Below are 16,442 nucleotides of genomic sequence, written 5' to 3' on the forward strand. Positions count from 1 at the left end.
GGTGAAACCCTGTCTGTACTAAAAATACAAAAATTATCTGAGCCTGGTTGCATGCACCTGTAATCCTAGCTACTTGGGAGGCTGAGGCAGGAGAATTTCTCCAACCCGGGAGGCAGAGGTTGCAGTGAGCCAAGATCACGCCACTGCACTCCAGCCTGGGTGACAGAGTGAGACTCCATCTCAAAAAATTGTTTTTTAAATGGAAAACTAGTATCTCACAGAAAAGTGAACAAATTCATCAGTGCCGATAAGATGTATTATCAAAAGTGTTGCTGTCACCCAGGTCAGGCCATAAAACATACACAGCATCCTGGAAGCCCCCTCCAGCGCTACTCACTCCTCCCCAGAGGTGGCTACTGTCCTCATTATCACCACAGATGAGTTCTGCCTTGTTAAAATTTCTCAAATTGCAACCACTTGGTATTTCATCATTATGCCTTGCTTCTTTGACTTAACATTTTTTTCAAGATTCACTTATGTTGTTACCTGTAGCTATAATTGGCTAATTGTCATTTCTGTAGGGCTTTCAATTACCACAATTTATTGATCCATTTTGTGGTTGATGGACATGTGGGTCGTTTCCAATGTTGGCTACTACAAATAATGCTGCTACCAACGTTTTTCTATGTGTGTTTTCACGCATAAGTGCATGGATTTCTAGTGTGTATATACTTATGAGTAGAATTTCAGCATCACAGGGCATGTGTGGTTCAACTTTAGTAGACGACTAACTGTTCTTTAAGGTAGCAGTCTCTGGCTGGGCACAGTGGCTCACGCCTGTAATCCCAGCACTTTGGGAGCCCAGGCAGGCAGATTGCTTGAGGTCAGGAGTTCAAGACCAGTCTGGCCAACATGCTGAAACCCCATCTCTACTAAAAAGACAAAAAAATTAGCTGAGTGTGGTGGCACGCACCTGTAATCCCAGCTAGTTGGGAGGCTGAGGCAGGAGAATTGCTTAAACCTGGGAGGTGGAGGTTACAGTGAGCTGAGATTGTGCTGCTGCACTCCAGCCTGGGCAACAGAGTTAGACTTCATCTAAAAAATAAAACAAAATAAAAAATAAAAGTAGCAGTCTTCAACTTTTTGGCACCAGGGACCAGTTTCATGGAAGACAATTTTTCCACCGACTGGCGGGGGATAGGGGTGGGGTGATTTCAGAATGATTCGAGCCCATTACATTTATTGTGCACTTTATTTCTATTATTATTACATTGTAATATATAATGAAATAATTATACAGCTCACCACAATGTAGAATCAGTGGGATCCCTGAGCTTGTTTTCCTGCAACTAGATGGTCCCATCTGGGGGTGATGGAAGACAATGATGGATCATCAGGCATTAGATTCTCATAAGGGTCAAACAACCTAGATCCCTCGTACACGAAGTTCAAGCTCCTATGAGAATCTAATGCCGCAGCTGATCTGATAGGAGGTGGAGCTCAGGCAGTAATGCAAGCGATGAGGAGTGGCTGCAAACACAGATGAAGTTTAGCTTGCTAGCCTGCCGCTCACCTCCTGCTATGTGACCCGCTTCCTAACAGACCAGTATGGGTCCATGGCCTGGGGGTTGGGGAACCCTGCTTTATAGTATGCCAATTTACATTCTCACCAATCACGCAGGAAAGTTTCAATTGCTCCCCAGCCTTGCCAATACTTGGTACTGTCAGTCATCTTAATTTTAGCCATTCTGGTGGGTGGGTAGTGGGATTGCAATGTTGTATCAATTTGCGTGTCTCTGATCACTAAAGGAGGTTGAGTATCTTTTCGTTTCCTTATTGGACATTGGATAGCCTTTTGTGAAATTCTTAAGTGTCATGTCCATTTTTCTTTTCTGTAGTCTTTTTCTTATTGATTTGTAGAAGTTCTTTTAGATTTTGCCTGTGAGTCCTTTTTGGATACGTGTATTACAAATATCTCCCTCCATGCTAAAGTTTCCCTTTTCATTCACTGATAGTCTTTTTTTGGTAATAGATGGTCTTAATTGCATTGTAGTCAGCTTTCTCGATTTCCTTCTTCTCTTGCCTCTTGGCCCTATTTACTACCTTGCAACTTTCCCGTGTCTTTAAATAGATTCTAAAAAAATAGTTTCTCCAGCTTTTCTAGATGCTCCCAATGGAAGAACTGGGCAGAACTTCCTCAGGCAATCATCATTAATTTGTATGGTTCTTTCTTCTGGCATTTTCATACTTCTAAATATATATATTTGGAACACTATTTCTTGATTTAATATTGTAGACTTTTTTGTAATCAATTTTACATTGTGGTACATGAGCATTTAACTATCTTAAACTTTTACTCCACAGTCTCTTGTCCTCTTAACGTGGTTCTTTCATGATTTAAAACTTCAAACCGCATTTGCTTTACATAATATCAAGACTCTCTAAAACATTCTTCACTGCAAGTGCACGTGGTTGGCAAGGGATTTTCAGAGTCAGTTGTATTTGGCATGAGTGGGATTCTCTTTGAAGTTTTCAGCAGCTCTAGTCAATATTCTAGATCTTTCCAGAATAGTTGCAGTTTCAACTACAGAAAGCTCTAGCCATTCTGAGATTGAACTGTGGTAGTTTCTCACCATTTTGGAGTGACCCCAGAGGTCTGTGCTATGTGGAATTTATCTATTTCCTGAGGCCTGGCTTTGAATCACTGCGCCATGGAAGACAGGGCAGTCACTTAGCAACCAGTGTCTCAGCAGACTCCCCAGGGCCCACTTCCCAATGTGGCTCCGTTGGGCCTTCCTTTTGCCATGTACACAGCAAGTCTTGTGACGTGATAAAGACTTGGGAAAATGGCCTCAAAAAGAATTCCAACTGCTGGGCCTGACCATGGGAAAGAAGACAAAAGAATTTTAGTAAGTTTTGGATCTTTGCCAGAAAAGGGAAGTTTTGAAATAGAGTGGTATGTTGAAACTAACAGTGGCTAGGATGTAGACATGAACAGGTCCCCCATACACTCTATACAGAGACCACAAAAGATGCCTTTTAAATGTGTTTCATTAGGAAAATTACCTGTAATTCGTGTTTTTAAATAAGAAGATTAGAAAAGGCTGTGGGATAGACTCCTTTCCTATGTTGAGAGTTATCTGTGTTTCAGCTTGTTCTTCCTGTAAAGACACCTGCACTTGTCATTTTACATGTCCCAGGTTTGGTTTGGAAAACAGAGTCATAGCGATGGTCACCCAAACCAAGGGAGGTCCCTGGTGTAGCACTACCTCCAACCCCTAGCCGGACTAGGAAACCCCTTTCCCTAGGAGTCCTGTTCATACAAGGTGTTCTGACCAGGAGATTTCTTCAGTGTCCTGGGTGCCCCTCCCACCCCCTAGAGCTGGGGGAAAACCATGGCTGAGCAGCAGGTGGGACAGGAGGGCATGAAACCGAGCAGAGTGGTCTTTCCACAGTCTTCCTGATTTGCGGTTATACCTGTTACTGACACAGTATACTTTTGTTTTGTCTCCTTCCTTCTTTTTTTTTTTTTTTGAGTTAGGATCTCGCTCTGTCACCCAGGAGTGCAGTAGTGCCATCTTGGCTCACTGCAATCTCCGCCTCTTGGGTTCGAGGAATTCTCCTGCCTCAGCCTCCCTAGTAGCTGGGATTACAGGTGTGCACCACCACACCCAGCTAATTTTTGTATTTTTAGTAGAAACGGGGTTTCACCATGTTGGGCAGGCTGGTCTCAAACTCCTGACCTCAAGTGATTGGCCCACCTTAGCCTCCCAAAGTGCTGGGATTACAGGCATGAGCCACCAGTGCCTGGCCCTGTTTTACTGTATTTCTTAGCACAGGGTTCCAGGAGACCTTATTCACTGCAAATTCATGTGGGTTCTGTTTTCCTCCCCACCCCCTCAGCTCTCCATTCTAGCCCCGTTCCTAGCTGCTAATCCAGGCTGCCACTGTCCCACTACCCAGGAGGCCTGTGCCATGCCTGGCCATTTGAAATAGTGTTCAGGGGTGTCTGACAGCCTGTGGTCTCCTGCCCTTTTCAGCTTACCACTCAGCACCTCCATGGATATCTTGCTCTCTCAGGCCCTCATCCTCCCTGCCCCTCCAGTGGAAAGTCTAATAACAGCAGGTGTTGCCATGAGGGAGGCTGGGCTTCCCAGTATACTTCACTCATCCACAAGACATTTACTAAGCACATACTGTGGGCCAGGCACAAACTGGGCCTGCGATACACAGATGAACAAGACAAGATCCTGACTGCAGTGTCTCACAAACTAAGCCGTCCATACACATACATAAACACACTGGCGCAACACAATGTCATGTATCAGTGACAGAAAATCTGTCACTGGGGTCATGAGGGATGGGCAGTCTTGCTAAACAAGGAAATTCATCAGGCAGACGAGTGGTAGGATGGGGAGAAGAAATTCCATGGGGAGGAAGAAGCATGGGCAGATGTGTAAGTGGGAAACCCTTGAATGGTCCCCAAACCATAAGTGATCTGCTACAGCCAGTGAGGGCAGGACACAGAAGACAAGGTCTTTCCTCAGGGAACTTATCTTCCAGAGAGGCGGGCAGCCGGGCAGGCTCAGAAAAAAGGATAGAGGAAGTAGTAGTAAGTGCTACTTTTAAAAGACCAGATAAAGTGTCAAGAGTTTTCACAAAAGGGAGAGAGGACTTTGGGTTAGGGATCCCAGGGAGCTTCATGGGCTGGATTTTGAAGAAAACGAAGAAAACGTAGGATGGATGTGCAGAGATGGGAGAAGAATCCAGAGGAAAGAGGTACAGTGGGGACTGCATGGTGTGCGTGAAAATAATGCCATCGCTGGGTGCAGGGAAAGCTCGGTCTCATTGATTAGAAGTGGCCAAAAGAAGTTGGGATGAGAATAGCGTGTATGTGTGTGTGTGTGTGTGTGTGCGCGCGTGTGTGTGTTGGAGGAGTCAGGATTGAGGGGCCCAGTGAGGGGAAGAAGGTGACAGTTTGGAGAGCTGAGTCCCAGACCCATGTGTACCCCTCAAACTGCAGGAGCTGACCTGGAGTTACGCTGGACTTGGAGGAGGCAGTGTGTGAAGCTATGGGGTAATTTTGGCACAGTTTCCTTGTTTTAAGTATTCTTAATCCTTTTGCAAAAACACATTTCTATATTAATAAACATGAAAAAAAGAACAGAATGGAAAATACACATAGATTTCATTTAAGATAAAAAAATACAACTTCAGTGAAATTGCAACTGCCCCCCAGGAGGCCTTCAGTGTATGTGTTCTCTTGTGGTCATTAGGGCAACGAAGGAAAAGATCTGAGAAGCCCTGACATCCTTGGCCAATTTAATTTTCACAGGAATTCTATGACATAGATGCTGTTACGTGAGAAAATGTAGGTCCAGCAAGGGCATACCAAGGCCAAGGTTACATGGCTAATACACAGCTGACTCAGAACTCAACCCAGGATCTGTGTGCAAAGTCCATGTTCTTCATGCAACAGCCTGAGCAGCTGATCAATGAGGTGTGCTAGGAAACAAAGCTGAAAAGGTAGGTTGGTGATAAATCATGGAAGGTCTTGAAGGCCAGGCTTAAATAAAGGCAGCATGTGAGAGAAAGTTCTTGGCTCACTAGGGCGAGACCTGGAGAAGCCGAAGGTAAGAACATGAAGTGCAGTACAGTCACAAGACAGGTAGTGACTCATTCATCCCAGCTTCTTTGGGGCCACCTCTTATCTATGAGACAAAGTGTGACTTGCACTCAACAGTGGCATTGTTTCTGTGGCAAAAGAAGGAAATGTGCCTCTGCTTCTGTTTGTTTTCTACTTAATGTTGTTTTGCAGAACACAGAGAACGCAGAATCATGGACCATCCCATTTTTTAGCTGAATGCTAGAGAAAGCACGTCAGCCATCTGCAACTTCTCCCAAGGTGCCCTTCCCATGATTAGGATACATTCCATAATCAACACAGCAGGACAGAACGGTATTATTGGATCTGAAAGAAAATCAATGGAGACTGGAAACCTCTAAGGGCAGTTGCAATTTTCTAGATCTATTATTTTCCATTTGGAGGTTAGTGAGACAGAACATGGTGTTGATACGAAAATTGAGAGATTTATGTTGTTTTCATAGTAGCAAAAAGAAAAAAAAAACCTCCAGAGAGGACCCCAAAATGATAACTTGGTGCAAATACAAAGTGAAGAGTTATTTGTGGCTTGAGATAAGTTGGAAATTGCTCCTTTGATTAGGAGATGGTTGCTACAGTTTGCAACGGAATGTTATTGTCTTTCTTCTTTTCTTTTTCTTTCTTTAGTATCTGTTGAGAGAGTTTATGAAGAAACCAGCCAACATCCTGGAGATCCTCAGGCCACCTCAAATACTGCTGTTTCTGTACAAAGCCTCTGATGGATTGATGTTTCATCAACTGGTACTGGGACAAGGACCCAACCACCACCATGATGAGAGCACTGTTAAGGTCAGATAAGCACCTGCCCTGGGCATAACTGAAGGCTTCAAGGCACCAGCCATCTCTAAGGAAGTGTCTGCTCACAAGACAAACGATCTTTCTACTGTTCCAGATGGCATCCTGGATATTGGCAATGCGGTTTTCTCCTGGGACAAAGTCTCTTTCTTCAAAGCACAGGTTGAATCTGTTTTGGTCACTGTATTGAGTGTCCAGGTGTTTGAGCAAAGCATTCTGCACCCATGTGAAGTCTTTGCTGCTGAAGCACAAATAGGCATCATATTTGTACATATCAGGTTCTGTGCCCTGGGGATGGTCCTTGAACACCAGTCTCTGGGCTGTCTTATAACAGATAAAACAGAAGCCCCGGAACTTTGTGACTGTGAGGATGGTCATGAGGAACAGAGTCAGAGTGACAGTGCATACAATGAAAAGGGAGAACTTTAGGGACTTTAAGACTTCCTCTTCATCACAACCTTCCGTGGAAAGAGAGAAGAGGGAAACCCCAGAGAACGAGTCAGGGTACACACAATATATGTCTGCAGGAGGCCCAGCTATAGTGACATTGGTGTGATTAAGCCAATTGATAAAAGTGCTAAGTTCACATTCACAAATGAACTTGTTATGAGTTATATCCAAGACACTAAGTGATACAAATACATCAGGATTAGGAGCTAGGAGCTGGTTCCTGGATATGTCCAGGATCTCTAAATTAGCAGGTAAATCATTGTGAGAAAGAACTGTCAGCCTGTTGGAGTTGAGGCTTAGTCCCCTTAATGCAGTCAGATGGCTAAATACTCCTGGTGGAAGGGAATTAAGATAGTTATGATTCAAATACAGAACTTGAAGATGAGAAAGTCCCTCAAAAACATCCCAACAGAGCTCAGTTTCCCAGGCAAGTTGCAACATATTTTCTCCAAGGAAAAGCTGTTCTAAGCTGGGATTCTCTGAAGGGGTTTGATCTCCACTACAGGAGGAGAAGCGATTTTGATTTAAAATGAGAATCTGGAGATGAGGTACCCGTAGGAGAAAGTAGAGAATATCTAGATTTTCTAGCCTGTTTTCTGATAAGTGGATGAGGTTCGCTGTAAGGTTGATCTTTGGCAAAGTCACTAGTTTATTGCCACTCAAGAAGATATCGGGTATGCTTGGAATAAAATGAATGGTTGTAAGAGCATTGTCTCGGAGATCCAAGGTCTGTAATTTTTCCAGGAATTTGAATGTTTGGTCTTGAATTATTGCAATGTGATTCTTTTGCAAATCAATGTAGGCTACCTTAGGTAGTCCATAGAAATTCGAACTGTAAAGTTCCCCCAGAAGGTTATATGACAAATTGAGAACTTGGAGGTTGTCAAGTCCGTAAAATGCTTCATCTGCAATCTTATTTATCTTGTTGTAGGCAAGGTTCAGAACCTTCAAATCCTTGAGTGTCTCAAAGACTCGTGAGTTCAGGGAGAAGACAAACCCATGTGAAAGATCCAGGTGTCTCACTGAACTTCTGGCCAGGCCAGCAAATGTGTTCTGGTCAGGATCTTTGATGTTATGGAAGCCAAACCCGGCACCCATGATGTGGTGGGCAAGAATCAAAGAGAAGGCCTGGCTTTTGCTGATGGCATTGCTAAAGTTTCCTGTGATGTCCACTGTCCAGCCATTTCCAGAAACATCTAGTATCTCCAGCACCATGTTTCTGAATGGGTTCATACATTTTCCCCAGTCCACTGAGACTCTGCTATACAAGCTATTAGCTGCGAGGCTAAAAAAGGAGAGCGTTTTCCCTTGTAGGGGCTCGAGCTCATGTTCACATACAAGGAATATTTGGTTGGAGGAAAAATCTATGGACTTTAAGGAATTCAACTTCCCAAATGAAGGATGAAGGTAAAGGCTACGAATCTGATTTTTGGATAGATCCAAGCGAGTTAAAGCCTTTAAATTTCTGAAATAACCATCTTTCAATACAGCATCAGAGAGACCACAGAAATACAGTCTAAGTTCAAACAGATGGAACAGTCCCTGAAAAGCATCTGGATGCAAGAAGTATATCTTACTACTTCCCAGGTCCAAGATTCTAAGGTTGGGCAGGTTTCTGAAGGCCTCCTTGTCAATAGTCAAGGGGGTATACTGGCTCCCGAGCTCCAGCAGCTGCAGCTGTTCCAGAAAGGGGAAGGATGAAGCAGTGACTGTCCTGATATAGTTGAAGCTCAGCAGGAGCCTCTCAGTGGTGTTGAGGACCTGGGGGACCTGGGTGAGGTTGCAGAAACGATAAAAGGCTATTCGGCCATCAAAGGAGCAGGAAGGAATTCCAAACACAGGACCGGCCATGAGCACCACTCCTAGGAGAAGGTCCAGGTGGTCTCCCATGATCCTATGGAGAAGAAGGGAGAATGAAAACACAGGCATTTAAGCTCGAGGTATTGCACTGGGGTCTTCAGATCTTGGGGGTATTCTCTATGATGTGCCTGCTCCCTTTGACCCCTTCATTCCTCTGACTCCACAGACGTGGCTGTTGGCAGATACAGACAAAACTATTCTTACTCTATTTCTGTTTTTTTTGAGACAGGGTCTTGCTCTGTTGCCCAGGCTGGAGTGCAGTGGCATGATCACAGCTCACTGCCACCTCCGCCTCCCGGGTTCAAGCCATCCTTCCATCTCAGCCTCCTGATTAGCTGGAACTACAGGCACGTGCCACTGTACCCGGCTAATTTTTGTATTTTTAGTAGAAATGGGGTTTCACCATGTTGCCCAGGCTGGTCTCCAACTTGTGGGCTCAAGTGACCTGCCTGCCTCAACCTCCCAAAGTGTTGGGATTACAGATGTGAGTCACCACACCTGGCCTATTCTTGCTCTCTATCAAACACTTACGTTGAATTTTCTGTATACTAGGCACTATTCTAGGTACTTAAAAAACATTTCACTTAATCTTTTCTTTTAAAAAAATTTTATTTATTATTCTAAATTAAAATAAAAATATAGAGATGGGGGTCTCGCTTTGTTGCCCATGCTGGTCTTCAACTCCTGAGCTCAAGCGATCCTCCTACCTTGGCCTCCCAACATGCTGGGATTACAGGCATGAGCCACTGCACCCTGCCTTCACTTAATCCTTATAATAACTCTATGTTTCTTCATTCATTCGTTTGTTTATTCATTCATGATTTGCTGAGGGGAGGTGGAGAAAACAGCAGGAAGAGACACAATGTTGCTTCACTTCAGCCGGGTACCCCGTTCCTAGCCCACAGAAAGCTCGGCTGATGAGTGGAAAATAAATTCACTGTTTTTCTCCCTTAATTTGTCTAGGCTACTGGCCCATCTCCATTTATCCGACCTTACTCCACACACAGTCCATCCCATCATGCAGAAATTGGGCACTTTCTGGCACCCCACAAAGAGCCAGATGTGATCGGTTTAATAAAAGTGTGATAAGTGCCTAGTGCTCGCCTGGCAGCTGTGTGATTGTGTGAGTGTACGACAATAAACAGAGACTGGCCCACTTGCTTAAGTCCTGTCGGGGAGCTAACCATCTGTCTGGGTTGAGTGTTTTTTTCATGGGTGCAGCAGAAATGGTGCTCAATGAACGTGTCTGGCTTATGTTCCAAGTATTGTGCTGGGTGCTATGAAGAGAAAACACACAAGGACCCCACCTGCAGAGAGCTTGGTGTCTATTATTTGCACAGCACCTCCATCTTTGGTGCCTACTATGCATTCCATTTGCTTTAAATGTAATGAAAGGCCTCTGTTGGAAGGTAAAGGAAGAGTTATATAGCTCAGAGGGCAGGAGAATGAGAGGAAAAATAAATGAAAGAAATAGGAAGAAGGCAATGGTTTATAAAGAGCATGAATCCCATGAGACACCATCACTGGCAAAAGTGTCAACACCAGGAGAGATTAAGCCTGGAGCAGTCACGGTGCTGGAGGTGGGCTAGCTCTGACGAGGTTGTGCTTTGTGCTGGGGCTGATGTATGGTGGGGTTTCCACAGAAACTGGGAGGCTGTGGCACACAAGCTACAGCAAATCAGAAGTAGGCATGGATGCCTGGATTGACTCAAAGTTTCAAACTCAGGCATCTAATAATCGTTAGGAAAAACTTGGTGAGAATGTTTATCACCACTCTGAATTTCTCCCCCATCTCAGTAAATGGCTTCACCATATCCATCCAGAGTCTCAGGGTGACAACACAGCAGAGTCTTTTAAACATCATTCTTTTAAACATCCCCCCAATATCCAATCCCTCAGCAAGTCCTGTTGGTGCCACCTCCCAAGCCTATCCACTGCCCTACTGTAAGCCGCCGCCATCTCTTTGCATGGGCCAGACTGGAGACTCCTCACTGGCTCTCTTATTTCTGGTCTTGCTTTCATTTTCCAGCCAGCAGCCAGCATGTTCTTTCAAAAACATAATCTGGTTTATATCATTCCTCTTTGTACAGGGCCCTTCCCTTCCTTCCTGCTGTACTTGGAATAAAATCCTGTGAGTACTTACATGATTCAGCTCTTGGCTGTCTTGTCAACATTATCTTGAATAGTTTTTCTCCTCAATAACTCATTAAAAAAATTTGCTGAGCACCCATTATGTGTCAGGCACTGTTTTATTTATTATTTATTTGAGACAGGGTCTCACACTGTCACCCAGGCTGGAGTGCAGCGGTGCTATCTCAGCTCACTGCAACCTCCGCCTCCCGGGTTCAAGTGATCCTCCCACCTCAGCCTCCTGAGTAGCTTGGATTAGAAATGTGTGCCAGCACGCCCAGCTAATTTTTGTATTTTTAGTAGAGATGGGGTTTCACCATGTTGGCCCAGGACGGTCTTGAACTCCTGACCTCAAGTGATCCACCGGCCTTGGCCTCTCAAAGTGCTGGGATTACAAACATGAGCCAGCACACCAAGCCTCAGGCATTGTTTTAGGAGCTGGAGATACAGCTGTGAGCAAAATGGACCAAGCCTGCCCTCATGGAGCTTACATTCTGGTGGACGGAAGAGGTGATAACAAAAGGAAGAGGAAATAGGTACTGACAGGCAGAGGTAAATGCAATGGAAGAAAGTAAAGTGGGAAAAAGGAGATGGGGGTGCCATGGCTCGGGTGGTGGCTGCTGTTTATAGAGAGGAGTCAGGAAGGGTGTCTCTGATGTAATGAGATTAGAGCAGGTGTCTAACAGAAGTAAGGAAAGGATGTGGAGAGGCCCAACGTTTGAGGGAAAGGAGCAGCCAGCACCAAGGTCCTAGGGTGGAAGTACCAGCCATCCTGGAATACACACATGGTACGCATTCCAAACTCTTTCCAGCCTCAGGACCTTCGCAAGTGCTGCTTCCTTCATGTGAACCCTCTTCTCTCTGCTCTTACTGTGGCGAGATCTCACATCAGTGTTTCCCCAGCGAGACTTCTCCTGCACACACTATTTGAAATAAATCCCCTGCCGTGTTACTCTTTCAAAAACCATCTTATTTCCATCAAAGCAATGATCACAAGCCCTTACTTGTCTTGTCTATTTGCTTATTTATCATACTGTGTCCGAAATTGGTGGGTTCCTGGTCTCACTGACTTCAAGAGTGAAGTCGTGGACCCTCACGGTGAGTGTTACAGTTCTTAAAGGTGGTGTGTCTGGGATTTGTTCCTTCTGATGTTTGGACGTGTTCGGAGTTTCTTCCTTCTGGGGGGCTCATGGCCTCGCTGGCTTCAGGAGTGAATCTATAGACCTTCACGGTGAGTGTTACAGCTCTTAAGGTGGCGCGTCTGGAGTTGTTCATTCTTCCCATCCGGAGTTGTTCATTCCTCCCTGTGGGTTCATGGTCTTGCTGGCCTCAGGAATTAAGCTGCAGACCTTCACAGTGAGTGTTACAGCTCATAAATGTAGTGCAGACCCAAAGAGCGAGCGGCAGCAAGATTTACTGCAAAGAGCAAAAGAACAAACCTTCCACGGTGTGAAAGACGACCGCAGTGGGCTGCCACTGCTGGCCGCCGCAGCCTGCTTTTATTTCCTTATCTGGCCCCACCGACATCCTGCTTATTGGTCCATTTTACACAGAGCTGATTGGTCTGTTTTACAAAGAGCTGATTGGTCCGTTTTGACAGGGTGCTGATTGGTGCATTTACAATAGATTAGCTAGACACAGAGCACTGATTAGTGCATTTACAAACCTTGAGCTAGACACAGGGTGCTGATTGGTGTATTTACAATCCTCTACCTAGACATAAAAGTTCTCCAAGTCCCCACCTGACTCAGGAGCCCAGCTGGCTTTGCCTAGTGGATCCCGCGTCAGGGCTAGGGGCAGAGCTGCCCGCCAGTCCCACCCCATGCGCCTGTGCTCTTCAGTCCTTGGGTGGTCGATGGGACCGGGCGCCGTGGAGCAGGGGGCGGCGCCCGTTGGGGAGGCTTGGCCGCGTGAGAGCCCACCACAGGGGGACTCGGGTATGGCGGGCTGCAGGTCCCGAGCCCTGCCCTGCAGGCAGGCGGCTGAGGCCCGTCGAGAATTCGAGTGTGGCGCCGGCGGGGCCGGCAGTGCTGGGGGACCCGGGGCCCCCTTCGCAGCTCCTGGCCCGGGTGCTAAGCCCCTCACTGCCCCTGGCTGCTCCGAGTTAGGGCCTGCCAAGCCCACGCCCACCCAGAATTCGCGCTGGCCCGTGAGCACCCCAGCCCTGGTTCCTGCCTGTGCCTCTCCCTCCACACCTCCCAGCAAGCAGAGGGATCCTGCTCCGGCCTCAGCCAGCCCAGAGAGGGCCTCCCACAGTGCACCGGTGGGCTGAAGGGCTCCTCAAGCACGGCCAGAGTGGGCAGTGAGGCTGAGGAGGCACCGAGAGTGAGCGAGGGCTGCCAGCACGCTGTCACCTCTCAATACTTATCATCTCTGTCCCCTGGTAGACTATATTCTCCATACAGCAAACAGAAAGAAGCATGGTGTTCACAAAAAAAAAAAAAAAAAAAAAGAAAAGAAAAGAAAAAAAGGAAAGAGTATGTTGAATGAACAACACTGCCATCAACAGAAAGATAAAGGGATTGGATCTGTTCGAGGACCTTTGCCTCAGTGCATTTTATCTGTAACACTCTAAAAGCCGTGGCTCTTGATGGGGACAGCTGCCTCCTAGGAAACTGTAATTTTGCAGGGATGATTTTTGGTTGTCACAGTGATAGGGGTGGGTATCACCCCTGTAATCAAGATGTCATGATAATGTATGTCAATGAAAAGAGCCAAACTGTAAAATATTTGAAGAGATTTATTCTGAGCTAAATATGAGTGCCACATATGTGATTCTCCACACAGGCACTGGCCATCATGAAGTGATTTTCCGAAATGGTGAATAACGCTGTCAATAAAAAAGAGTCAAACTCTGTAAAATATTTAAAGAGGTTTATTCCAAGCCAAATGTGAGGACCACGACCTGTGACACAGCCCTCAGGAGACCCTGAGAACATGTGCCCAAGGTGGTCAGGGTGCAGCTTGGTTTTATACATTTTTGGGAGACATGAGACATCAGTCAGATACATTTAAGATATACATTGGTCTGGTCCAGAAGCATGAGACAACTGGAGGGGCGAGGGAGCTTCCAATTTATAGGTAGATTTAAAATTTTTCTAATTGGCAATTGGTTGAAAGAGTTATCAATAGAGGCCAGGCATGGTGGCTCACGCCTGCAATCCCAGCACTTTTGGAGGCTGAGGCAGGTGGATCACTTGAGGTCAGGGGTTGGAGACCGGCCTGGCCAACATGGCGAAACCCCATCTCTACTAAAAATACAAAAATTAGCCAGGCATGGTGGCGCATGCCTGAAATCCTAGCTACTCAGGAGGCTGAGGAAGGAGAATTGCTTGAACCCAGGAGTCAGAGGTTGCAGTGAGCTGAGCTTGTGCCATTGTACTCCAGCCTGGGTGACAGAGCAAGACTCCATCTCAAAAAAAGAAAAAAAGAGTTATCAATAGGGAAGAATGTCTGGGTTGTGATAAGAGGTTGTGGAGTCCAAAGTTTGATCATGCAGATGAAGCCTCCAGGTAGCAGGCTACAGAGAATATAATATAAATGCCTCTCATCAGACTTAAGGTCTGTGTTGATGTTAATGCTGACGGGTATAATGAGGCATTTTCAGCCTCCACTTCCCATCATGGCCTAAACCAGACTTTTAGGTTAAATTTTAGAGTGCCCTGACCTAGAAGGAAGTCCATTCAGATGGGCCGGGCACGGTGGCTCACGCCTGTAACCCCAGCACTTTGGGAGGCTGAGGCAGGCGGATCACCTGAGGTCAGGGGTTTGAGACGAGCCTGGCCAACATGGTGAAACCCCATCTCTACTAAAAATACAAAAATTAGCCAGGCATGGTGGCACGTGTCTGAAATCCTAGCTACTCAGGAGGCTCAGGCAGGGGAATTGCTTGAACCCAGGAGGCAGAGGTTGCAGTGAGCTGAGCTTGTGCCATTGCACTCCAGCCTGGGTGACAGAGAGAGACTCCATCTCAAAAGAAAAGAAAAGAAATGAAAAAGAAGAGAAAGAAAGTCCATTCAGATGGTTGTGGGGCCTTAGAATTTAATTTTTGGTTGACACGTGCATGACAGTCCCGTACCATGCAGAATCAGCCAGCATCCACACAGCTGTAGGATGTCCTGCCCAAAGTCCCCAAGGGTCAAAAACTTGCTCAAAATTCCCTCAGAACCTAACTTTGTGTTACATGCTAACAAAATAGTTTTTGCACGGTTTTAATATATACTGAATTTTTCAGGAATGCAACTACTGTGTCAATCTAGGAAAGACTACCTTGTTTAGTTTGGACCTTAATAAAGTGTTATAAACCAAAAATAAAATTCTAAGCTCCCCAACTGACTGATGCACCCCTCTCTTGGCCAAGCACATTCCAAAAAAAAACCTGAAAAACTAGTTCAGGCCATGATGGGAAAGGTGAGGGGGTCAGACACGCCTCATTATACCCTCCTCCCTTTGGAATTCAGGCACAACTGACCAGTGTTAACATTAAAACAGAGATCTTCAGACTGATAGAACAGACTCTTTGTAGCAATAAGATACCAACACAACAGGCCTGGCACAGTGGCTCATGCCTGTAATCCCAGCACTTTGGGAGGCCAAGGTGGGCAGATCATCTGAGGTCAGGAGTTCAAGACCAGGTTGGCTGATATGGTGGAACCCCGTCTCTACTAAAAATACAAAAAATTAGCCGGGCGGGGTGGTGGCATCTGTACTTGGGAGGTTGAAGCATGAGAATCACTTGAACCCAGGAGGCAGAGGTTGCAGTAAGCCGAGATCATGCCACTGCACTCCAGCCTTGGCAACAGAGTGAGACTGTCTCAAAAATAAAATAAAATAAAATAAAATAAAATAAATAAAATAAAATAAAATAAAATAAAATAAAATAAAATAAAAAGATATCAACACAACAGATAGCAGGACCTGAAAGAAATTTAAATATTTTACCCCAAAATAGAACATTTCTTTGACATATTTTGAGAGGGCGCTGCACAGTTGTCTCTTGTGGGAAAATCTATATTCTGTAGAGAATCCCCTTCCCTTTCCAGGTCTTTTCCTGATCCAGGAGGGATTTAATTAAGAGTCTGGCACATTTTTAGTTCTCATGAAAGAGACATTTACCATCTATTCTTTCTAAAGCCTGCTACCTGGAGGCTTCATCTGCATAAGAACCTTTCTTCACAACCCCTTGATTCCAGGCCTTTAGATAAAAACTTGATTCTTTCAGCAAATTGCCAGTCAGAAAGTCTTTCAATCCACCTATGACCTGGAAGCCCCAGGCTTTGAGTTGTCCTACCTTTCGGACAAACCAATGCATACCCCACATAGACTGACTGATGTCTCGTGTCTCCCTACAATATACAAAACCAAGCTGTAGCCTGAACACCTTAGGCACATGTTCTCAGGACCTCCTGGGGCTGTGTCACAGGTCATGGTCCTCACATTTGGCTTGGAATAAACTCTCGAAATATTTTGCAGAGTTTGACTTTTTTTTATTGACAGTGTTATTCACCATTTCAGAAAATCACTTCATGATGGCCAGTGCCTCTGTGGAGAATCAAACAATGTCACAAACAGTGCCCATCTGCATCATATGGTGGTAGCATTTATG

The 16,442-nt window shown here is 45.5% G+C and overlaps 1 protein-coding gene across 11 annotated transcripts in view, besides 1 other annotated feature; it reads right to left on the minus strand.

The window, feature by feature from the left end:
• TLR5 (toll like receptor 5) overlaps positions 5,110–16,442 on the minus strand; it is a 33,845-nt gene continuing 22,512 nt past the window's right edge. For all 11 annotated transcript variants that reach the window (XM_006711506.4, NM_001437624.1, XM_006711504.4 and 8 more), the window contains one exon: positions 5,110–8,741. In XM_006711506.4, the coding sequence (XP_006711569.1) occupies positions 6,161–8,737 (2,577 nt within the window). In that variant the 5' untranslated portion in view covers positions 8,738–8,741 and the 3' untranslated portion in view covers positions 5,110–6,160. The remainder of the gene's footprint in view (positions 8,742–16,442) is intronic.
• Positions 12,229–12,730: an enhancer, noted in NCBI's record as "H3K27ac-H3K4me1 hESC enhancer chr1:223289865-223290366 (GRCh37/hg19 assembly coordinates)". NCBI's record gives its function as "activates a minimal SCP1, AML or CMV promoter by ChIP-STARR-seq in primed H9 embryonic stem cells {active_cell/tissue: H9 hESC(primed)}" and the evidence as "EXISTENCE:reporter gene assay evidence [ECO:0000049][PMID:30033119]".

The sequence above is a fragment of the Homo sapiens genome, chromosome 1, assembly GCF_000001405.40.
Source record: "Homo sapiens chromosome 1, GRCh38.p14 Primary Assembly".
Taxonomy (NCBI): Eukaryota; Metazoa; Chordata; class Mammalia; order Primates; family Hominidae; genus Homo; species Homo sapiens.